Source organism: Homo sapiens, chromosome 11 (assembly GCF_000001405.40).
Source record: "Homo sapiens chromosome 11, GRCh38.p14 Primary Assembly".
Classification (NCBI taxonomy): domain Eukaryota; kingdom Metazoa; phylum Chordata; class Mammalia; order Primates; family Hominidae; genus Homo; species Homo sapiens.
In genome coordinates this window covers 86,349,291-86,374,348 of record NC_000011.10, presented here as the reverse complement: position 1 = coordinate 86,374,348, position 25,058 = coordinate 86,349,291, and the positions used below count along the sequence as shown (strand labels likewise).

General features: G+C 38.3%; 1 long non-coding RNA gene across 3 annotated transcripts in view, besides 1 other annotated feature; it reads left to right on the top strand.

Annotated features, from left to right (window-relative positions):
• LOC105369421 (uncharacterized) overlaps positions 1 to 25,058 on the top strand; it is a 60,137-nt gene that overhangs the window by 21,752 nt on the left and 13,327 nt on the right. For 2 of the 3 annotated variants that reach the window (XR_007062826.1, XR_007062825.1), the window contains exons 3-4: positions 14,022 to 14,135; positions 21,316 to 21,366. This is a non-coding gene — a long non-coding RNA (uncharacterized LOC105369421). Of the gene's footprint in view, positions 1 to 3,901; positions 3,981 to 14,021; positions 14,136 to 21,315; positions 21,367 to 25,058 lie in introns of those variants that run through there. The other variant, XR_001748531.2, reaches the window with a different exon arrangement.
• Positions 17,166 to 17,700: an enhancer, noted in NCBI's record as "NANOG-H3K27ac hESC enhancer chr11:86067691-86068225 (GRCh37/hg19 assembly coordinates)". NCBI's record gives its function as "activates a minimal SCP1, AML or CMV promoter by ChIP-STARR-seq in primed H9 embryonic stem cells {active_cell/tissue: H9 hESC(primed)}" and the evidence as "EXISTENCE:reporter gene assay evidence [ECO:0000049][PMID:30033119]".

The window sequence follows — 25,058 nt, the reverse complement described above, 5'->3', positions numbered from 1 at the left end:
ACCAATCTCATCCTGAAGAATTGCGTGCATGCTCTCCCCTCTGCTGGTAATTATCACAAGCTGAACATACCTATGCAAAACCCATCCAGGTCAAAAAATAGAATGCTAGCACATTGCACAGATCAGCACTTCATTACCCCTCCAGTCATTAGCCAACACATACTGCAGATTCATTTTGCCTGTTGAATCTTTGGAATCATATAGTATGTATCCTTTTCTGTCTGGCTCTATTCAAATTCACATTATGTTTATGAGGTTCATCCATAGTTTCTATGGTAATAATTTCTTCATTTACACTGTTGCATATTATTCCTTTTTATGAGTATGGCACAATTTATGCATTCCACTGTTGAAGGGCATTTGCGTTGTTTCCCTTTGAGGCTACTGGGAATAAGGCTGCTGCAAACAGTCTCACAGAACACTTTTGACAGATAGATGTACTCATTTCTGATGTGTATATAACTAGGAGTAGATTCATGGGTCATGAGAAATGCATATGATCAATTTTAATAGATAATGCCAGCTAATTTTTAGTGGCAATATCAGCATTATTGTTCCACATTAAGATAATGGAATTATAAAAATAATTGTTTTACAATACATTAGATTTTGAATTAAATATAGTGGTACTTTTAATCTCTAGAAAAGCTGTCTTCAGTTCCAGAAGATGGTGGTGGATGCTAATTATTAGTGAATTGTAGATGGCTAAAGGAAGCTGTAAAAAGAATAAGGACAAAGACTTTTCTTCCAAGGTTTTACTTTCCTTTTGTCAAAGGTCTCTTGACAAAAGAGGCTGTGTAGATACATGTAACCCTGTGTTGACTAGAAACTTTTAATGAGCTATAAATATTATATATCCTGAAAATACATACTTTTCAGTTGCTATTAAAACTCAGGCAAACTATGTACTTCCACTGCTACAAATTTGGATATATTTGGATATAAAATTGGATGTATTAGCATGATACATACAAAGATATATGTATATGCAACATTGTTTATAATGTTAATTCTTAGAATTAGCCTAAGATGACCATCATAGGGAACTGGTTAAATTGTGAATACATACATTGGAATACATTTCAAGAGTTTACTTAAAAGGAAACTGCACATTTACGTGCTGATGTTGAAAAAGTTTCAAAATATAGTAAGTGAAAACCAGTAGCAGCATAGTATTTTTATATAATGTAATCCTGTTTCCTTCAAATATAAGTATATAAGTATGCATACGTATTCATATATATTTTTGTAAACATATGGGATATTTGAGGAAAGATACATACACAAAAATATTAACAGTGGAATTTTGGATCAGGCAAAATTTTGTATGGTGGAGGAGGCATTCCAAGAACTTTTATATTCACTTTTCTCCTTTATTTACTGTTTAACAAGGGCATGAATTACTTTATAATATTTAAGATAATTTACCAAAGAGAGGAAGAGAGAGAGGTACAGGTAGAGTGTAGGGATTTATGCAAACACTGAAGGAAACAAACAGGGCCAAAATGTTCCCAAGTATTTCAATGTACATTTACTTTTCTGCAAGCTCCAACTTGCCTTGCAAAACCCACATTGAATGGGCAGTCATTTTTACCCAAGCCCCAAGGCACACACAATATTAAGTGGCTTATATTAAAGGCAACTTGGAAAAAAAAACTATTGAAAAAGAAAACATAATACTCATTATACAACACCAGAATAGAAATTTGCAATAAATAATTTAACCACATCTATTGAGTACCTAATTTGTGCCAAGCACTTTGCTAGTTGCTAAAAGGAATACAGACACTTAACCAGAAAACCCCTACAGATAAGAAGTTCACAATTCATTTTTCACCATTTTAACAAATATTTATTGCAGGAGGTTCTAAAATCAGGATTGGGTTTCAAAGTTAAAGTGTAAATTGAAAATTGGATGTGGGAAAACTACTCCAGGAATCCCTTCTTAGGAAGGGACCATATCAGAGACCCACATATGCCATCTCTCAGTTTATAGACCCAATGCAGTCTTTCTCTCCTCACACTGGAGCAGATCACTTTCTTCAGGAGAGATGTAATGAAACAGTTGGCTAGAGTTTAGGAAAGCAGTCTTATTCTAAAAATTCAACCAAATAGAATTGTATGTACTCAACACTGTGCCATGCTTACACTATGATACACACTCATGAACTGAGACAGATTGAAAATATAGCAGATGTATATCTTCTGTCCCTTGCTTACTCAAGGATTTATGCAGAAACAGACTTGCGGTAGCTTCATAGACTGTGAACTTAGCCAAGATAGAACTACATTTTCCAGAATTCCCTTTCCTATATGATTCTAGGTTAGGGTTAGTCAAAAGAGAATGTGTGTGAGATTTGGAAGGCAGAAGTAAAGCAGCAGCCATGTGATCTGAAGCCCTAAAGGTCATTGTAGGGCCAGGCACTGACCTGCTGGCTCACCGTGTAGGCATGGGCCAGCAGCCTGGCCTGCAGCTTTGCAGCTCCTGCCAGATCTCCTCATTCTGCTTCTCTCAATCTTAGACCAGGTACATGTGCAGCAGTGTTGCCAAAGGTACTACCTAATCCTATAAGTCCCTCACATCACTGAGGTTGGACGCAAGGAAATACAGATGCAGGTTGCAATTTGTCCTCACAGGATCTAGTTTGCCTGTGTGTAACCGCCCAATGGGTTCATCTTGCCTACTGCCCAAATGAAGCTGATTTATCAAGATGGGGGAATTGCAATAGAGAAAGAGTTTAATACAGGCAGAGCTGGCTAAATGGAAGACTGGAGTCTTATTATTACTCAGATCAGCCTCCTTGAAAATTCAGAGGCTAGGGTTTTTTAGTTTGGTGGAAAAGGAGCTAGGGAATGGGGAATGCCGATTGGTTGGGTCAAGTGATGAAATCATAGGAAGTTGAAGCTGTCGTTTTGTGCTGAGTCAGTTCCTGGTGGAGGCCACAAGACCAGATGAGCCAGTTTTTCTGTCTGGAATGTGCCAGCTAACCCATCAGAATGCTGGGTCAGAAAAATCGGCTCAAACACCAATCTTAGGTTTTACAATAGTAATGTTATCTATAGAGGCAATTGGGGAAGTTAGCAATCTTGTGGCCTCTGGCTGCATGACTCCTAGGCCATGGTTTCTGAGCTTGTGGCTAATTTGTTGGTTTTACAAAGAACAATCTTGTCCCCATGCAAGAAGGGAGTTTGTTTCAGGGAGGGGCTGTTATCATCTTTGTTTCAAAGTTAAACTATAAATTCCTCCCAAAGTTAGTTCAGCCTATGCCCGGGAACGAACAAGGGCAGCTTGGAGGTTAGAAGCAAGATGGAGTTGGTTAGGACAGATTTCTTTTACTGCCATAATTTTCCTATGTCAGATTTTTCTCAGTGTCATAATTTTTGCAAAGGCGGTTTCACTTGTAGGTTCCAGATTGTTCTCACCAGTTCCAATCTTTCCTTATTCTTCCCCATTTCATGACCATCTTTTCTTCCTATTAGCCTTGCTGTCTTTAGGCCCTACACCAGACACAGAGGCCAACACCAGACAGAGATGACTTAACCAGCTCTTACAACTATGTAAGGGCTAGTGCTCATAATAAATTTTATATTTTCTATCACTCTTACAGGTTCTGCTTCTCTGATTGAACCTGAATGATACAGAACTGGTAGATAAAACTAAAGTATTTCAATTTAAAGTATTCTCTTTAAGTTTTACTTAGACTTGAATTCACATAAATTATGTATTTGTGCACTGCAACTGTATTGTAAAGATTTATCTTAGTCTGTTTTGTGTTGTTGTAAAGGACTACCGGAGAGACTGAGTAATTTATAAAGAAAACATATTTATTTGGTTCACAGTTAAGAATGGCTGGAAGGTTCAAGATTGGGTATCTGCATCTGGTGGAGGCCTCAGGCTGCTTCCATTCATGGCAAAAGGCCAAGGCAAAGGGGAGCCAGCTGTGCAGAGATCACTTGGTGACAGAGGAAACAAAAGACGGGTAAGGGAGATGCCAGGCTCTTTTTAACAGCCAGCTCTGAGGAATTAATAGAGTGAGCACTCACTCCCTACCGAGGGAGGTCATATATCTCTATTCATGGGTTTCGCCCCCATGACCAAAACACCTCCCATTAAGCCTCATCTCCAATATTGGGCCAGGATCAAATTTCAGCATGAGGTTTGGAGGGGACATCAAACCGTAGCATATGTTAAATGTCATGTTTGAGGCATGAAGACAGTGTAATGGGAATTCAAGGGGAGGAAGATTATATCTCTGTTAGGCCATTCTTGCATGGCTATAAAGAAATACCTGAGACTGGGTAATTTATTTTAAAAAGAGGTTTAATTGGCTCATGTTTCTGCAGGCTGTACAAGCATGGTGCTGGCATCTGCCCAGCTTCTGGGGACGCCTCAGGGAGCTTTTACTCATAGTGGAAGGCAAAGCAAGAGTAGGCTTATCACATGGCGAAAGCAGGAGCAAGAGAGAGAGTGGGTGGGGGAAGGTGCCACACACTTAAACAACCAGATTTCGCAAGAACTCATTCACTACCGTGAGGATGGCACCAAGCTATGACGGATCCACCCCCATGATCCAAACGCTCTCTGCCAGGCCCCACCTTCAACACGGGGATTACAATTCAATGTGAGATTTGGCAGGGACAGATATTCAAACTATGTCTGCTTCTAACTGGGATGATTGGCCTGAATGCTAAACAAAGAAGCTTGAATTGTATTTGGAAGGTGTGGATAGTTCCTGAAGGCCTTGAATAAGAGAATGACCTAATCACCACTATATTCTTCTGTATTACATTAAAAAGAAGTTTGAATTTCATTACATGTTATAAGTAATCCATATGTCAGATAACAACTAATCAGAGAAATTTCTCAGAGAGATAGGGGAAAGCTACCAAATAACTAAAAGGATAACCACAGGAAGGCTGGCTACAGAATGATTAATGTGGTTGAGTGACAGCCATTTAGAAGCTTTTGACAGATGAAACTGCAAAGATGCATTCATTTTCTTACAATACAAATGAAAAAAAGTAAATTAGCTAAGGTGATAAATGAGATTACCTTGACATTAAGCTGTGGAATGATCTCCCAAAGAAAAAATATAGAAAACTCATCAATTCAGACTATTTGAAAATAGACCATTTCAAGTAGGAGTTAACACACTATTGTTATTCTACCTGGACTCTTTGCAGAATAAAAGTCATACAATAGGGCTTTCTTATGTTTAATAGATGTTGTCTCAATAAATAATAAATATGATAATAATACCCGTGTATATAACATTATCTATTTATGATTAGAAGAGAAAGTTAATATTTAAGCTGTACTCATCTGACCTACACCTCTTATAAGCATTTTGCACCTTTTTTCTATTTCACTTAAGCTAAAGTGAGGAATTTGGCATTTGGAAATCTGAGCTCAAGTCTAGTATTAACATAAATAGGCTTGTGTTTATAACTGAATAAAATCTTAATATTTCTGAGCCTGTTTGTTGTTAAAATAGTAATAATGACTGTAAATGTTAACAGAGTATATCCCAGTAAACTTAAAGAAATAATGATAAAAGTAAAAATAGGAAAAAAAGCTCTTTGGCTTCCAAAAATTCTAAACCTGCAGATTCTTGCCCCATTTTACCATAAGATTATACCACTTTACATAGGCAAAACCAAATGTATATTCTATAAACAAAAGAATACCTTGACTATTTTTTAAAATGGAGACTACTGATAAATAAATTTTGAAAAATTGTAAAATAAGTGACTTTAGGCAATGTATGGTAAGTTGGTCAGCCAATTCACTTCACACAATATACAAAAATTAACTTAAAATAGTTCATAGACCTAAATCTAAAAGTAAAAGACATAAAAGTTCTAGAATAAAACATAAAAGAAAAATCTTGTGATCTTGAGGTTAAGCAAATATTTAAGATAAAAAGCATTAATCATAAAAGTTAAAAACTTGATAAGTTGGACTTTATCAAAATTCAAAACTTTTGCTCTTTAAAGGCATCATTAAGAAATGAAAAGTCACAGAATAGTAGAAAATATTCACACTACCAATACCTGACAACTGGTATATAAAATGTATTTTTAAAATCTCCCAAAGCTCAATAATAAGAAGATAATTCAATTTCTTTAATGGACAAAATATTTGAACATACATTTTACAAAAGCAGATGTATAAATGGTCAGTAAGGAGATGGAAAGGTTTGCAACATGGTTAGTCATTAGGAAAACACATATTAAAACTACAATGAGACAACACTACATTAGGATGGCTACAATTAAAAAGACTGATAATACCAAATGTTAGTGAAGATGTGGAACAATTGGAGCTTATACTCTCAAGGTGTGAATGTAAAGTAGTTCAAAAAACTGGCAGTTTCTTATAAAGTTAAACATACACCTACCATATGACCAGCCATCCTAGTTCTAAGCATTCAACCTATAGAAATAAAAAATATGTGTTCACACAAAGTGTTAAATGCAAATATTCATAGCAGCCTTATTCACAGTAGCCAAAAATGTAAAACAGCCCATGTGTCCATCAAATGGAAAATGGATAAACAAGTCGTAGTATATCTATACAAAGTAACACTACTTAGTAATAAAAAGGAGTGAACTACTGACATAGGTAATAACATGGATGAACCTCAGAATCATCATGCTGGCTGATAAAAACAAGACACAAAGAATACATACTGTGTGGTTTCATTTATATAAATTGTAGAAAATGCAAACTAATTTATAGTGAGTCCAGCAAATCAGTGATTGGCTGGGGCCAGGATCAGAAGGAGAAATGAACTGCAAAGGGGGCATGGGAAATATTTTGGGGTGTAATGGATATATTCTGTATCTTGAATGTGGTAGTGATTTCACAGGAGTCTACAGCTGTCAAAATTCATCAAAGTGTGCACTCTAAATGGGTGCAGCTTATTGTATGTATCCTGATGAGGATTTTTTTTTTAAGAAGAAACCCAGAATTCTAGGAAAGCAAACTTAAAAGCTTAATAAATGCAAACTTAAATAAAATTTAGTTAATTCATAAGTTGACTAAAAAGTAAAGAACTTACTTGAGGATTTTAACAGTAGACAGAAAACAACATATGTCAAGAAGAATGAACTTAATGAAATTATCCAAATTGAACCTCAAAAAGGAAGAAGGTAAAAAGAACCTCACACAGTAAGAAATGTGAAATATATGAAGTTCCAGGAAGAGAAGACAGAATAAGAAGTAATCATTTGAGAAAAATGGCTGATAATTTTCCAAATTGATGAAAAGTATTAACAAAATCTTCAAGAAGCTTAGCAAGTCCCAAATAGGATAAATACAATGGAAATGACACATAGGTACATAAAAGTCAATTTATTGACTTTTATTAACCTTATTTATTAAATAGGGCATTGAATCTATAAATTATCTTGGGCAGTATGGCCATTTTCATGATATTGATTCTTCATACCCATGAGCATGGAATGTTCTTCCATTTGCTTGTGTCCTCTTTTATTTCGTTGAGCAGTGGTTTGTAGTTCTCCTTGAAGAGGTCCTTCACATCTCTTGTAAGTTGGATTCCTAGGTATTTTATTCTCTTTGAAGCAATTGTGAATGGGAGTTCACTCATAATTTGGCTCTCTGTTTGTCTGTTATTGATGTATAGGAATGCTTGTGATTTTTGCACATTTTCTATCCTGAGATTTTGCTGAAGTTGCTTATCAGCTTAAGGAAATTTTGGGCTGAGACGATGGGGTTTTCTAAATATGCAGTGTCAACTGCAAACAGGGACAATTTGACTTCATCTTTTCCTAATTGAATACCCTTTATTTCTTTGTCCTGCCTGATTGCCCTGGCCAGAATTTCCAACACTATGCTGAGTAGGAGTGGTGAGAGAGGGCATCCCTGTCTTGTGCCAGTTTTCAAAGGGAATGCTTCCAGTTTTTGCCCATTCAGTATGATATTGGCTGTGGGTTTGTCATAAATAGCTCTTACTATTTTGAGATAACGTCCCATCAATATCAAGTTTATTGGAGTTTTTAACATGAAGGGTTGTTGAATTTTGTCAAAGGCCTTTTCTGCATCTATTGAGATAATCATGTGGTTTTTGTCTTTGGTTCTGTTTATATGATGGATTACGTTTATTGATTTGTGTATGTTGAACCAGCCTTGCAACCCAGGGATGAAGCCAACTTGATCATGGTGGATAAGCTTTTTGATGTGCTGCTGGATTCGGTTTGCCAGTATTTTAATGAGGATTTTTGCATTGATGTTCCTCAGGGATACTGGTCTAAAATTCTCTTTTTTGTTGTGTCTCTGCCTGGCTTTGGTATCAGGATGATGCTGGCCTCATAAAATGAGTTAGGGAGGATTCCCTCTTTTTCTATTGCTTGGAATAGTTTCAGAAGGAATGGTACCAGCTCCTCTTTGTACCTCTAGTAGAATTCGGCTATTAATCCATCTGGTCCCGGACTTTTTTTGGTTGGTAAGCTATTAATTATTGCCTCAATTTCAGAGCCTGTTATTGGTCTTTTCAGGGGTTCAACTTCTTCCTGGTTTAGTCTTGGGAGGGTGTATGTGGAAAATGACTAAGTTTGTGCTGACATAAACAAAGCAAATTACTTCCATATGTTTGTTTAAAAAAAATAACTTTCCTGCAAAGAAATGCCAGGTTTATATGGCTTTAATGCTAAATTCTTACAAATAATTCAAGAACAAATAATACTGGATTTACACAAACTATTCCAGACAATTAAAAAAGAAGAGACATGTCTGAACTCACTTTTTAAGACTGGCAAAACATTGATACCAAAATATGACAGTACAAGTAAGGAAATTTATAGTCTAGAATCTCTCTTGAACATAGATATAAAAATCGTAACAAAATATCGATAAATTGGCAGGGTGTAGTGGCTTATGCTTGTAATCCCAGCACTTTGGGAAGTCAAAAGTGAGAGGATTACTTGAGCCCATGAGTTTGAGACCAGCCTGGGCAACATAGTGAGATCCTGTCTCTAAAAAATGTGTTTACATTGGTGGCATGCATCTGTAGGCCCAGCTACTCAGGAGGCTGATGTGGGAGGATCAGTTGAGCCCAGGAGTATGAGGTTACAGTGAGCTATGATCACACCACTGCACTCCAGCCTGGGTGACAGAGCAAGACCCTGTCTCAAAACAAAACAAAACAAAACAAAAATCAATAAATGGGATCCAGGAATATAAAAAAATAATAACATACCATAACAAAGAAGGATGTACTCCAGGAATAAAAGGTTGATTTAACATTTAAAAATTCTGTCATTATAATTCACCACATTAACAGAATAATATGGGAAGAAGGGGCAGAATAAAATCATCTTAATAGGTGAAGAAAATATATTTGATAAAACTGAACATGCATTGATGATTTTAGAAAAAAATCCTCAACAAAGGAGAAATTGAATAAAACATCCTTAATCTCAAAGGGTTATCTAGTAATAAAACCCCGTAGCTGTGTCATTATCAATGGTTAACATTTTCTCCCCAGAGTCAAGAATAAGATGGGGATCTTTACTACCACAGCTGTTATTCATCATTATGCTGTAGGCCCAAGAGAGTTCTACAAGACAAGAAAGAGAAATAGAAGGTATAAAGATCAAAAACAAAAAGTAAAACTGTCTTCATTTATGTATTACATGATTGTGAAGACAGAAAATCTGAAACTATACAAACTATTAGAATTAATTTAGCAAGCTCTCTGGATACGAAGTCAGCACATGAAAACCAAGTATATTTCTATATACTATCAAGAAATGATCAGAAAATGAAATATTCTAAAATGTAATTTATAGTAACATTAAAAAATCAAATATTTAGGAACAAATTTAAGAAGAGTTCCACAAGGCTAATAGTGAAAACTACAAAATATTCCTGAGAGAAATTAAAAGTGACCTAAATAAATGAAGAGCTATATCATGTGCATGAATCAAAAGACTCAAAATTGATAAGATGTCAATTTCCCCCAATTTGATAAGTAGATTCAATGCAAACCCAACCTATAAAAACCCACATAAAATATTTGGTCGACATCAACAGGATAAATCTTAAATTATATGGAAATGCAAAGAACCTAAAATAGCCAAGAATAATCTTTCAGAAGAATAAAGTTGAAAACTTTACTATCAGATTTCGAGACTAACTATAAAGCGGCAGTAATTAAGACAAGGTGGTATTGGTGCAAGGAGAGGCAAATAGGCCAATGTAACAAAACAGAGTCCAGAAATACCCTCTACATATACATCATTTAGTTTATAACAAAGGTGTTACTACAATTCAATGGGGAAATGATAGTGTTTTTATTAAATGGTACTTCAACAACTGTATATCCATATGGGAAAGAAAATAAACTCTAACTCACAACAAATCCAAAACTTAATTCAAGGTGGATCATATTCTCTAATGTGAAATCTGAAACAGAAAGCTTTAGAAGAAAACAGAATAACTTCATAACTTTGGGGTAGACAATGATTTCTTAAACATGACAGAAAAAGCTCTAACCTTAAGAGACAAAATTGATAAATTTGACTTCATTAAAATTGAGAACCTCTATTATCAAAATACATTAGCAGGAAATTGAATAGGCAATTACAAAGTAGGAGAATATATTTGCAATACTTATATCTGTTAAAGGATTATATACATAAATAACTCTACGGATCAATAAGAAAGCTTTTTAAATGGGCAAAACACTTGAACAGGCACTCTTCAGAAAAGAAAGATAAACAAACATCTACCTTATGATGCAGCAATTCTGTTCCTAATTATATACCCCCTAAAATAACATATGAAGTACATATGTCTGTAAAAACTTTTACAACAATATTTAAAGCAGCTTTATACTTAATAACCAAAACTTGGCAACAGCCTAAACATCCACTAGCAGGTGAATGTATAAACAAATTGTTATTTATTCATACAATGGAATATAACACAACAATAAAAAAATAAACTACCACTGATATACAGAACATAGATAAATCTCCAAAATATTATGGTGAGCAAAAGAAGAGAGACATAAGAGTACAAACTGTATGACTGCATTTATGTGAAGCTTAAGACCCAGAAACTAACCTATTTGATAGAAGTCAGAATATTTATCTCTGCAAAGTAGAGTATTGACTGGGAGTTACTACAAGAGAGCTTCCTTGGAGGCTAAAAAATGTTCTGTATCTTGATATGATTGGTGGTTACAAAAGTGTATGCATTTGTAAAAATACATACATACTTAAGATTTATTTATTTTACTGTGTGTAAATTAAACTCGAATTTTAAGAGTATAGAGTGGCAGTTTACATACTCTCTCTCTCTCTCTCTCTCTCTCTCTCTCTCTATATATATATATATATATATATTTTTTTTTTTTTTTTTTTTTTTTTTTTTTTTTCTAGACAGAGTCTCGCTCTGTCACCCAGGCTGGAGTACAGTGGCACGATCTCGGCTCACTGCAAGCTACGCCTCCCGGGTTCACACCATTCTCCTGCCTCAGCCTCCCAAGTAGCTGGGACCACAGGCGCCCGCTACCACGCCCGGCTAAGTTTTTGTATTTTTTTTAGTAGAGATGGGGTTTCACCGAGTTAGCGAGCATGGTCTCACTCTCCTGACCTTGTGATCCGCCCGCCTCGGCTTCCCAGAGTGCTGGGATTACAGGCGTGAGCCACCGCGTCTGGCGCAGTTTACATACTATTTGGCACATTCCATGCACAGGCTTTGTGCAGCATGCTCTTTGGTATCAGGATATTCAAAATGTAAACCTTCTTAATCCCATCTAGGGACAAAATATAGCATAGTGGCTAAGAGTTTGGGTCTAAGAGTCAATTATTCTTAACAAAAATTTGTTGAGCTCCTTATTATGTGCCAGGCTCTGGTCTGGGTAGTGTGGTAATAAGCAGCAAACACAACCAAGAGCTTGTCCTAACAGAGATCATAGTCTAGGAGGAGATACAGACAATACAAATATAAATAATATAATAATGTTACAAAGAAAAATAAGGCAGGACAATTGGATGCACAGTGAGGTGTCTATTTCAGATGGATTAATGTAGCTTCTCTAAGATTACATTTGAGCAGAGACCTGAATGACGTGAAGAAGCCAGCCATGAGAATCTTTAGTGGAAAACTAAACCCTAGGCCTTTAATTTTGCTATTCTGGAAACCCTGAGCAGGCTATTCGATTTCTCTGTGTCTCTGTTTCACCATCCATAAAATGTTTATTATTTCCAGATGGTATTAAGGATTAAGTGAGATATATGTAAAGTGCCAACACAGTATCTGACATATCATAAGGATACAATATATAATTATTGTGTAAATCATGGAATAAAATGCAAACAGAATGCATCAGTGTTATAGGGTAGGAGCTTTTGCTTATTCTTTTTTTTTGGTTTTTTTTTTTTTTTTTTTTTTGAGATGGAGTCTCACCGTGTTGCCCAGGCTGGAGTGCAGTGGCACAAACTTGGCTCCCTGCAACCTTCATCTCCTGGGTTCAAGCCATTCCCCTGCCTCAGCCTCCCGAGTAGCTGAGATTACAGGCACCTGCCATCACAGCCTGCTAATTTTTGTATTTTTAGTAGAGACTGGGTTTCACCATGTTGGCCAGGTTGGTCTCAGACTCCTGACCTCACATGATCCACCCGCCTCGGCCTCCCAAAGCGCTGAGATTACAGGCATGAGCCCCCGTGCCTGGACACTTTTGCTTATTCTTCTGTATAAATAGTGTAAGTGTTCCATAAGCATCTGAGGTTCAGTGTATTTAATGTAATACCAGTTTTGCAATGCATCAGTTTCAATACACCTCTAGCACAGAAAAGGACAAGAAAATGGGGAAGCTAAAGAGCAAGGACTGGCTAAGGAAAACTGAGTATTCTGAGGGATAGAATCATAGTTGTTACCCTAAACAGATGGCCCGCTTTTCCAAGGTCAGGTCATATGATGCAGAATTGAGACAATCCCAATAATAAGCTAAACAATTGAATAACCATAGTTAAATCCAAATCTGTTTGTACATTTTTCACACCTTTGTTCATTCTATTTCCTCCACCTGAAATACTGTCCATTCCCAGCCTACAACCTGTGATTCCTAGAAGGCAATGTGCTTTCTTAAGCCTCTCTACTTCTGGTGGTTCTTTCTTAAATTGGAATTCCCCTCCCAATCTCTATCCTGTCCTTGGGTGCAAGCCTCAACTGTGGTTAAGGACGCCCTCCCCTGCCTATCTGTATAGCTAGGTTAGGCGTCCCTCATCTGGGCTTGCATTTCCCCAATATTTCTTGAATCACTGTTAAGTAAAAGAGCTTCCTAAATATGCAAGTGTTTGGGAATGTCCTCAGGATCCTTGTCCTCCATTCTATACATAAAGCACCATCTGGTGGTGAAAGAAGATGACTATACTTCTAGGTCACCAAGATGTGTTTTCTGTTTTCTGAGCTTTCAGAGAGCTTTTAAAATCATGTTAGAGGAAAAAAGCCACACTGACTTGCATAGAGATGTACCTATTGCCAAAGAACAGTTTTTCTTGAGTGAATGTTTTCTGCTTTCTTGCTCACTTCCATTTTCTACCACCCTTCTCCCTGTTTCCTTCCATCCTTATTTCTCAATTTCTTTCTCCTACATTTCAACTGGCCCACTGAAAACACAGTTCTGGCCAGGCACAGTGGCTCACGCCTGTAATCCCAGCACTTCGGGAGGCTGAGGCAGGTGGATAACTTGAAGTCAGGAGTTTGAGTCCAGCCTGGCCAGCATGGTGAAACCCTGTCTCTACTAAAACTACAAAAATTAGCCTGGCGTGGTGGCGTGTGCCTGTAGTCCCAGCTACTTGGGAGGCTAAGGCAGGAGAATGGCTTGAACCCAGGAGGCGGAGGTTGTGGTGAGCCGAGATCGTGCCATTGCACTCCAGCCTGGGTGACAGAGCTAGATTCCACCTCAAAAGAAAAAAACAGTTCTGGTTGGCATTTGTTTTGTTTTGGCTGCCCTAAGAGCCTCCACATTTCCTTTTGGAATTCACAGATCTACATTGTGTGTAATCTTAGTGGGGCTGCCATTCCTGGTGACTACATTCCATTACCAAAGCCGAAGGAAACAGATCCTTGCCCTCCTTGACTCTGCAGGACCAGGGGCCAGGTATGTGACCCAATATCAGTCATCAGATGCTCTTTCTGGGGCTCAGACTGTTGAGCTGTTGACAGGCAGACAGCAGGAAAATGTGGAAGTTATTTCCACAGGGATGGTATGCACTTTTCACTATCTTGCTTTAAGAAAATTGCCTGGGTTCCTAATGGCCAATCCCCCAGATCCCTCTTGATTCCTGCCCATTTCCAGGTCTGATTGTCCTAGCTCCCATCACTCTGAGCATCCCAACAGTCTTCCAATAATTTCCTTCTGCTTCAGTTAGTCCAAATCAATATCTGTGGCCTTGTCTGCTTACAAGTTTATAAAACCACTAAATATCCAACTAGTGTGGTGGCATAAAAGGAGACTATCCACCCCTCCACCCCATTATCAGAGAATAAACTTGAGGATTAAAGAGAAACATTTAAATCCTAGCTTTAGTTAACCAGGTTGCTTAAGTAGAGCCATGTGCCGTTAATGTGAGGGTCCTTTGAAATGGAAACCAGAAAAAGGAAAGGACAAATGTCAATAGGAAGATTAGATGTTTCTAATGTAGATTAGATTGCAGAGTGATGGAACGAAAATTAATCCTCAATTAATCCTCATAATGGCACATTGATTTGTGGTACTTTAGGGGGAAACCAGCTGCAGCTGGAAAGCACTCAGTGGACTCCCCCTGTTCTTCAGTCTTTACAGAATCTCTCTCCCTGAAGAGACAAATGGAGACAAAAAAGCAGAAAGAATACATGTGTACATCCAGTGGCTATATTAAGCAAGAAAATCTATGAAATGCAAAAGAAACTAGGGGCTGAAACTTTATTCGGAGGGCTAAAGGGTGGTTTGTGTAAAAGAAACGGAGAATTGCTCCTGAGATAGCCTGTCATCTGATGGCTTATGAGGTGAGGTTCTGCCTTCCTCTTGCTTAGAGGTGGGGAGAGACTAGACCAAAAGCTGAATGCCTGATCTCTGCCTATGGACTCCAAGTGACTCAGGAATGTTCACTTGACTCTTTAGTAAAGAACAGCTTGAAGCTCTATAAAGGTCTAGTTTGTACACAGAGAAAACAACCTATTTGGATCAGGGAAGCAGAACCCCACTCCATATGGCTGCTGACTGGCCTCCCCCTCACTGTGGCTCACTATAGAGGAGAAGTGTCAGTAGCTGGAGAGATTGTAAGGCTGATTCCCTTTCTGACTCCCTGGGATATCCCTTTCTCAGAAATACAGAGAAACTGTCAACGAAAGAGTTGACACTAGAAAATAAGTAGGGCATACCCAAGGGCATACTCAGTCACTGTGTCAGAGGCGTTTGAACCAGAGTGACTCCATTTTGAGTGAGGGCTAGGAAAATAAGACTGGGACTTGCTGGGCTGCATTCTCAGAAAATGAGGCATTCCTAGCCTCTAAATGTTTACGGTTAAGGGAACAAATTAATAATGTTTCCTAAACAGACCCAGACTTGGGAGTGTCCAGATATCCTGATATCTGGAGAAGAAAGGCATTCCTGATTTTGCTTTAAAGATAATAGTATCAATTCTTGCAAAATATAGTAATTAAGAAAATTAATCCTTTATCACAAACCCTTGTAGCAGAGCACATCTCCCCGTATATACAAGCATTGTACCTAGGGTGGACGCATTCCTCTTCTGACTTTCAGGAACGTCCTACTCTTATCAATGGAGTAGCTGTTCTTTCACCACTTTATTTTCTTAATAAACTTGCTTTTACTTTGCACTGTGGACTCGCCCTGAATTCTTTCTTGCATGATATCCAAGAACCCTCTCTTGGGGTCTGGATTGGGACCCCTCTCCTGTAACAACTGGTCCTCACTTCAATGCTTTATTGGACTGCTTTTGTTATTTGAGGCTTGAGGGTGTTAGCAAAAAAAAAGTCCAACTCTGTGAAATATTTGACGTGGTTTATTCTAAGCCAAATATGAGTGTCATGGCCTGTGACACAGCCTCAGGAGGTCCTGAGAACATGTGCCCAAGGTGGTTGGATTATAGCTTGGTTTTATACATTTTAGAGAGACAGAAGTTATAGGCAAAGACATAAATCAATACATGTAAGGTATAAAAGGCAGGATATCTTGAAGCAGAGAGTGGGGGATGTGGGTGGAGGAGTTCTTCCAGGTCATAGATGCATTCAAAGATTTTCTGATTGACGATTAAAAGGATTAAGCTTTGCTTGAGAAATGGAAGTCGACATAAAGAAATGCTTAAGATAAGGGGGGTTGTGGAAGCCAAGGTTCTTTTTATTTTATTTATTTATTTATTTATTTATTTTGAGACAAAGTCTCTCTCTGTTGCCCAAGCTGGCATGCAGTGGTGCAATCTCGGCTCACTGTAACCTCCGCCTCCCAGGTTCAAGCGATTCTCCTGCCTCAGCCTCCCAAGTAGCTGGAACTACAGGCACACACCACCATGCCTGGCTAATTTTTGTATTTTTTAGTAGAGACAGGGTTTCACTATGTTGGCCAGGCTGGTCTTGAGCTCCTGACCTCGTGATCAACCTGCTTTGGCCTCCCAAAGTGCTGGGATTACAAGCACGAGCTACCTCACCACCTGGAAGCCAAGGTTCTTGTTATGTAGATGAAGCCTGTAAGTAACAGGCTTCTGGGAGAATAGATAATAAATGTCTGTCAGACCTTAAAAGGTATTAAATCTCTCCTGGATTAGGAAAAGACTTGTAAAGAGAAGGGGATTCTCTAAAGAATGCAAATTTCCCCCACAGGAGACAGCTTTGCAGGGCCATTCCAAAATACGTCAAAGAAATATATTTTGGGATAAAATACTTTGATTTCCTTTAGGGCCGCTGTCATGTGATGTTATACCAGAGTCAGGCTGGAGTTGGGTATCTTATTACTAACAACAGTCTGTTTTATCAATCTTATGATTTCTGTTTTAATGTTAATGCTGGTCAGTTGTGCCTTAACTCCAAAGGGAGGAGGGCATAACAAAGCATGTCTGGCCTCAACCTCCACTTCCCATCATGGCCTTAACAAGTTTTTTATTTGGGATCCCCTTGGCCAAAAGGAGTCCATTCAGTAAGCTGAGTGGCTTAGAATTTTATTTTTGGTTTACAAGGGTATTATTACAGGAAAGGGGTCTGGATCCAGACCCCAAGAGAGGGTTCTTGGATCTCCCACAAGAAAGAATTCAAGGCGAGCCCATAAAGTGAAAGCAAGTTTATGAGGAAAGTAAAGGAATAAAAGAATCTCTGCTCCACAGACAGAGCAGCCCTGAGGGCTGCTGGTTGCCCATTTTTATGGTTATTTCTTGATGATATGCTAAACAAGGGGTGGATTATCCATGCCTCCCATTTTTAGACCATATATGGTAACTTCCTGATGTTGCCATGGCATGACATTGTCATGGTACTGGTGGGATTGCAGCAGTGAGGACAACCAGAGGTGACTCTCATTGCCATCTTGGTTTTGGTGGGTTTTAGCAAGCTTCTTTAGTGCAACCTATTTTATCAGCAAGGTCTTTATGACCTGTATCTTGTGCTGACCTCCTATCTCATCCTGGGACTAAGAATGCCTTAACCATCTGGGAATGCAGCCCCACTTTGCCTAGTTCCTATTTAAGATGGAGTTGCTGTGGTTCACATGCCTCTGACAGCATCAAACATTTGTTGGGACTGAACCTCAGTGCTCAATTAGGTATTTGATGAAGTTCTTGAAAAGAGGAGATTAAAGAAAAAACCTACAGAACTAAAACTGGTAATGGATTCTCTGGGTCAGGCTCTAACAAAATAATCAGTTGTGGCCAGGCACAGTGGCTCATGCCTGTAATCCCAGCACTTTGGGAGGCTGAGGCAAGTGGATCACTTAAGGTCAGGAGTTTGAGACCAGCCTGGCCAACATGTTGAAACCCTGTCTCTACTAATACAACAAAAATTAGTTGGGCGTGGTAGCACACACCTGTAATCCCAGCTACTTGGGAGGCTGAGGCAGGAGAATCCCTTGAACCTGGGAGGCGGAAGTTGCAGTGAGCTGAGATTGCATGACTGCACTCCAGCCTGGACAACAGAGCAAGACCCCATCTCAAAAACAAACAAATAATCAGTTGTGACAAAATAGTCAGTTGTCATTTGGGCTTGTCATTATTGAGAATAATCATTATCACATAAGCAAACCATTTTGTTACAGTGACGAATCCATACAGGTCTGCAGCAACCTCAGCTCTTGCCTCCTCAGAAGAAAGAATTTGACTGAGGGGCATGAAGTAGAAGGAGAAACCAAGGCAAGTTTTAGAGCAGGAGTGGAAGCTTATTACAAAGCTTTAGAGCAAGAACAAAAGAAAGGAAAGTACACTTGGCAGAGGGCCAAATGGGCAACTTGAAGGAAGGACCTTTTGACTTGGGGTTTTATATGCTGGCATACGTTCAGGGTCTTGCATCCCCTCTCCCCTGATTCTTCCCTTGGGGTGGGTTGCCTGCATACACAGTGGCCTGCCAGCACTTGGGAGGTGAGAATGCGCAGTGTGCATATTGGAGCTGTATGCATGCTCACCTGAGGCTTTCTTCCCTTTACTGATGGAATGCCCCCAGAAGGTCATATACCAGTTAAACCCTGCCATTTCACCTCTCAGTGCACATACTTGAGCCCGTTTGCCCAACTCCTGAGATCCTACTGGGAAGCTACTGATCACCATTTTCAGTTTTTTTCTATCTATAGGGAGACTGACTTTCCCTGGTGCTGGCTGTGACCAATTATTATTTCAGAGAGACAGTTAATAACCCCTTGACCATCAGCTCGTGGTTGCCTGACATGCTTGGTCAGGCGACGCCCTCTCCTGACCTGCTCATGCCTGACTAGCCACCTACTGTAACAATGTGACTGAGAAACTCACAAAAGCACAGGCATAAAACAGTAATTAATGGCAGTTAAAAATTATAAAATGCTATTTTACTTTTAAATGTACACATAATTGTACTTCACAATTCAAATGCTAAAAAGGTTTTTGAATTTTTGTGAAATAAATGTAAAAGCCAATAAAAATAATCAAAGGCCTTCCAAGTTCTCTAGGAAAAACATCAATTAAAAAATAGCATAATTACTTCGTAAAGTGATTTTAATTTTATTTGTGTATCTTATGTGTTGTACATGTGTCAGAAATTCCTTCCTTTTTAAGACTGAATGATAATTTCATTGTATGTATATACTACATTTTGTTTATTCATTCATCTGTCAATGGATGCAAAGCTACTTTTACATGACTGAAAAAACCTGATAAAAGCCCAATGGTCCAGTTGTTTCACCACGAAGGTCCTTCTTTCCTTTTCTTTTTTTTTTAACAGACTATTTTTAAGAGCAGTTTTAGGTTCACAGCAAAACTGAGCAGAAAGAAGGTGGGGATGGTTAACGAGTACAAAAAACAGGTAAAGAATGAATAAGATCTGTATTTGATAGCAAAACAGGGTAACTACAGTCAACAATTTATTGTATATTTTAAAATATCTGAAAGAGTGAAATTGGAATGTTCCTAACACAAAGAAATGACAAATGCTTGAGGAGATGGTAAAAAAATTTTGGAGGCTTAATATAAAATGGTAGTTCAGGGTTGCTTTTTAGACAGGTTTTTGCTCTGGCACTCAGGCTGGAGCACAGTGTTGCGAATATGGCTCACTGCAGCCTCAACCTCCTGGGCTCAGGCAATCCTCCTATCTCAGCCTCCCAGGTAGCTAGGACCAGAGGCACATGCCATCATGCCTGGCTAATTATTTTATTTTTTGTAGAGACAGGGTCTCACCACGTTGGTCTCGAACTCCTGGGCTCAAATGATCCTCTTGCCTCTGCCTCCCGAAGTGTTGGGATTATAGGTATGAGCCACTGTGACCAGCCAGGCTTGCATTTTTATTTTTGACCATAAATATTCTTTCATTTAAAAATAATTTTTCAGGCTGGGCGCAGTGGCTCATGCTTGTAATCCCAGCACTTTGGGAGGCCAAGGCGGGCGGATCATGAGGTCAGGAGATCGAGACTATCCTGGCTAATGCGGTGAAACCCCGTCTCTACTAAAAATACAAAAAAATTAGCCGGGCGTGGTGGCGGGCGCCTGTAGTCCCAGCTACTGGGGAAGCTGAGGCAGGAGAATGGCGTGAACCCGGGAGGTGGAGCTTGCAGTGAGCCGAGATCATGCCACTGCACTCCAGCCTGGGCGACAGAGCGAGACTCTGTCTCTAAATAAATAAATAGTAATTTTTCACTTTTAAAGTAAAATTTATCTACTCATAATTTGACTACTTTTAGGTCCTAGTTTTTCATAGAATGAGTTAGGAAGGAAGGACTCCCTCTCCTAACTTCTGAAAGATATTGTAGAGAATTGGAAAAATTTCTTCCTTAAATGTTTGGTGGAATTCAGCAGCAAACCTATCTTGGCCTAATGCTTTCTGTTTGGGAAGATTAGCTATTGATGCCATTTCTTTAGTAGATATAGTCCTATTCAGATTGTCTATTCTTCCTTTTCAATTTCTCCCTAGTGACCCTCAGCTTTTGAAGGATTTTCGTCTCCACTGTCTTTTTCATTTTTTCCCAAACTCCAAGTACCCAAGCCACAAGAAAATAAAATTCCAAAGAAGATGAGGCCGAGGCAGGGGGATCAGGAGTTCGAGACCAGCCTGGCCAACATGGTGAAACCCCGTTTCTACTAAAAATACAAAAATTAGCTGGGCGTGGTGACTCATGCCTATAATCTCAGCTACTCAGGAGGCTGAGGCATGAGAATTGCTTGAACCCAGGAGGTGGAGGTCGCAGTGAGCCAAGATCGCGCCACTGCACTCCAGCCTGGGCAACAGAGTGAGACTCCATCTCAAAAAATAAAATAAAATTCCAAACAAGAAACAAATGCTTTGTTATACTATGCAACCCTATTGTTTATGCAGTTCTCTTTAGGCTTTTAGAAATATAATACATACCTAGTGTACAAATAGTTATCAGACATTTTATCATTCAAAAGCAGCCCCAAAGGAATATGACAATTTTAATTGATCTTTGATGCTGGTATGTGGTGGGTTACTTGGCCAGTGAGTGACCCTGGCTGATATCAAATATGATATACTTCAACAATTTGATTTCCAATACTTATTGAGCACTAAGAATGTATCAGGCATTATTCTAAAAGTTTTAGGTAAGTTTATTCCTTATAACAAACTTCAAAGATATATACTGTGGTCAATTCATTTTACAGATGAAGAAACTATGACACAGAGAGGCGAAGTAACTTGATAAGATCAAAACAGTAAGTAAATGGTATAGCCAAATTTTGAACACAAGCTACCTGACTCTAGAGGCCATAACCTTATCCACTACACTATAATGCAATTTTGTGGTTCTCTGTGCATCACTGAAGAAAAAACAGATGCTCACATAATTTTTTCTTATTTTGTTTCTTTGGAAAAATAAAGCCAATTGGCTAATGCTATTGAGATCTAAGAAAACTTCTGTTCTTGCTTAGAAATGTTAGTTCTTTTATCCATTAAACACACACAAAAAAAGCTGAATTTAGTGATGTCTCATATTATCTCATACATATCTGTCCACCACAGGCTCTAAATGGAAAAGGAGAAATAGCAGGTCATGAAACTGTTTTAATGAATGTTTAAGTCAGAAAATGTATATAAATGACTTTTATTCCATATTTAAACTTAAATTTTTATATAGGTTTTAAGTGTTATCTCTTTTCCACAAATTATTTATTACAAAAAGCTCAAGTTGTGTTTAACAAAATGGACTTATAACAAATGTCTTTTAAAAGATTCTAAATTTGTTAATTCTTAAGCTACAACCATAAGGACTTCCTGTGTCAGCTTCATTTGTGATTTCCAGATCCTTAGTTAACTTTAAGGATATGAATATTCTTTTGTAAGTAACCTTGGAAAACTGGACAATTTTATGACATATGTGCTTTAATAACTGGTGTAGCTGTTAGCTACCAGGTTAAAAAGGATGTATAGATGGCTTTATGTTGATGTGAATACTTGTTTTGAAGATATTTTTTAAATGTGGATAGGTAATGGGATGTGTATGCAAGGTAATGAATTTTATTTATCTAAGTAAAAAAGAATTATTTTACCTTAAGGAGAGTCTGGTTATGCTAGCCTAGAAGAGTATTTTTTTATTATTATACTTTAAGTTTTAGGGTACATGTGCACAACGTGCAGGTTTGTTACATATGTATACCTGTGCCATGTTGGTGTGCTGCACCTAGTAACTCATCATTTAGCATTAGGTATATATCCTAATGCTATCCCTCCCCACTCCCCCAACCCCACAACAGGCCCCAGTGTGTGATGTTCCCCTTCCTGTGTCCATGTGTTCTCATTTTTCAATTCCCACCTATGAGTGAGAATATGCGGTGTTTGGTTTTTTGTCCTTGTGATAGTTTGCTGAGAATGCTGGTTTCCAGCTTCATCCACGTCCCTACAAAGGACATGAACTCATCATTTTTTATGGCTGCATAGTATTCCATGGTGTATATGTGCCACATTTTCTTAATCCAGTCTATCATTGTTGGACATATGGGTTGGTTCCAAGTCTTTGCTATTGTGAATAGTGCTGCAATAAACATACGTGTGCATGTGTCTTTATAGCAGCATGATTTATAATCCTTACAATGAACTCAAACAAATTTACAAGAAAAAAACAAACAACCCCATCAAAAAGTGGGTGAAGGATATGAACAGACACTTCTCAAAAGAAGACATTTACGCAGCCAAAAAACACATGAAAAAATGCTCATCATCACTGGCCATCAGAGAAATGCAAATCAAAACCACAATGAGATACCATCTCACACCAGTTAGAATGGAGATCATTTAAAAGTCAGGAAACAACAGGTGCTGGAGAGGATGTGGAGAAATAGGAACACTTTTACACTGTTGGTGGGACTGTAAACTAGTTCAACCATTGTGGAAGTCAGTGTGGCGATTCCTCAGGGATCTAGAACTAGAAATACCATTTGAAGAGTATTTTTTAAACTTAAGAGTATTCAGGCCGGGCGCGGTGGCTCACATCTGTAACCCTAGCACTTTGGGAGGCCGAGGTGGGTGGATCGCTTGAGGTCAGGAGTTCGAGACCAGCCTGGCCAACATGGTGAAACCCCATCTCTACCAAAAATACAAAAATTAGCCAGGCATGGTGGCAGACACCTGTAATCCTAGCTACTCAGGAGGCTGAGGCCGGAGAATCACTTGAACTCAGGAGGGCTGAGATCACACCACTGCACTCCAGCCTGGGAGACAGAGTGAGATTTCATCTCAGAAAAAAAGTATTCAGAGAGTGTAGAAGTTCTGAGGAGTAAACTGTATTTGACAAGTTAGGGGTTGGAAAGGATCAATAAATGTGTCAAAATTTTTGACGAAGCTGGTTAAATGTGATGGATGTATTCACAGGAAGAAAGGCTTATGAAGCCATTACTACATATTGTTAAATAGAAGACAAGTAACAAGAGTAAAACTATAATCTGGATTTTCTTTCTGATAAAACAGCAAAGCTATCTCTGGTGAGATAACAAAGATTTCTTCTATCACTGTAACATTCTATCACTAAGCATTTTGACATATTAAGTCATTTTTTAAAAAAGCTAAAATACTAATTTGGAAAAACTAAAATACCTAATAATCCTAGTCACATATTCTTTTATCTTTTATGTTTGTGCACCAAAATTAACTTGATATGGTTCAAATGTAGACTAACGGTTCAACAAATGATGTTGGGAAAACTGGATATTCACACGCAAAAGAATGTGCATATTCATTTACCATTCACAAAAATTAACTCAAGATGAATCAAAGACCTAAATGAAAGAGATAAAACTATAAAACTCTTAGAAGAAAACACAGGAGTCAGTCTTCACAACCTTGAATTAGGCAATCGTTTCTTAGATATAACACCAAGAACAGAAACAAGAAAAGAAAAACAAAGATAAACTGAATTACATCAAAATTAAAAACTTTTGTACTGCAAATGATATCAACAAGAAAGTGAAAAGATAACTCACAGAAGAAAATATTTGCAAATCCTATTTTTAAGAGACTTGTATCTATAATAAACTCCTAGCCAGGCACAGTGGCTCATGCCTATAATCCCAGCACTTCAGGGGGCTGAGGTGTGTGGATCCCTTGAGCACAGGAGTTCAAGACCAGCCTGGACAACAGAGTGAGACTAGATCTCTACAAAAAATACCAAAAAAAAAAAAATTAGCTGGGCATGGTGGTGCGCACTTCTAGTCCCAGCTACTCGGGAAGCTGAAGTGAGAGTATCACTTGAGGCTGGGAGGTCGAGGCTGTAGTGAACCGTGATCGCACCACTGCACTCCAGTCTAGGCAACAGAGGGAGATCCTGTCTCAAAAAATTGAAAAGAAAAAAGATAAAAAGAAATGAAGTACAGATACATGCTACAACATGGAATAATCTTGAAAACATTATGCTAAGTGAAGGAAGCTAGTCACAAAAGACCACTCTCTCTGATTCCATTTATATAAAATATCCAGAAAAGGCAAATCCAGACACAAAAAGATTAGTGGTGGCTTAGGGATACTAGAAGCTGGGAGATGGGGATTAACTACTAATGGATATGAGGCTCCTTTTGGAGGAATAAAAATTAGATTGTGATGACATTTGCACAAATCTGAGACTAAACTAAAAAGCATTCATTCATTCAATTGAGACAAGGTCTCTGCTGTTGCCCAGGCTGGTCTTGAATTCCTGGGCTCAAACAATTCTCTCACTTCAGGCTCCAGAGTAGCTGAGATTACAGCTGTGCACCACTGCACCTGGCTCTTTAAATGGGTTAACTGTAAATGGGTTAACTGTGTGGAATATGAATTATATCTCAATAAATCTTTTAAAAATTAAATTCTTTAATTTAAAAAAAATTTTTTTTTTTGAGACTGAGTCTCATTCTGTTACCCAGACTGGAGTGCAGTAGCA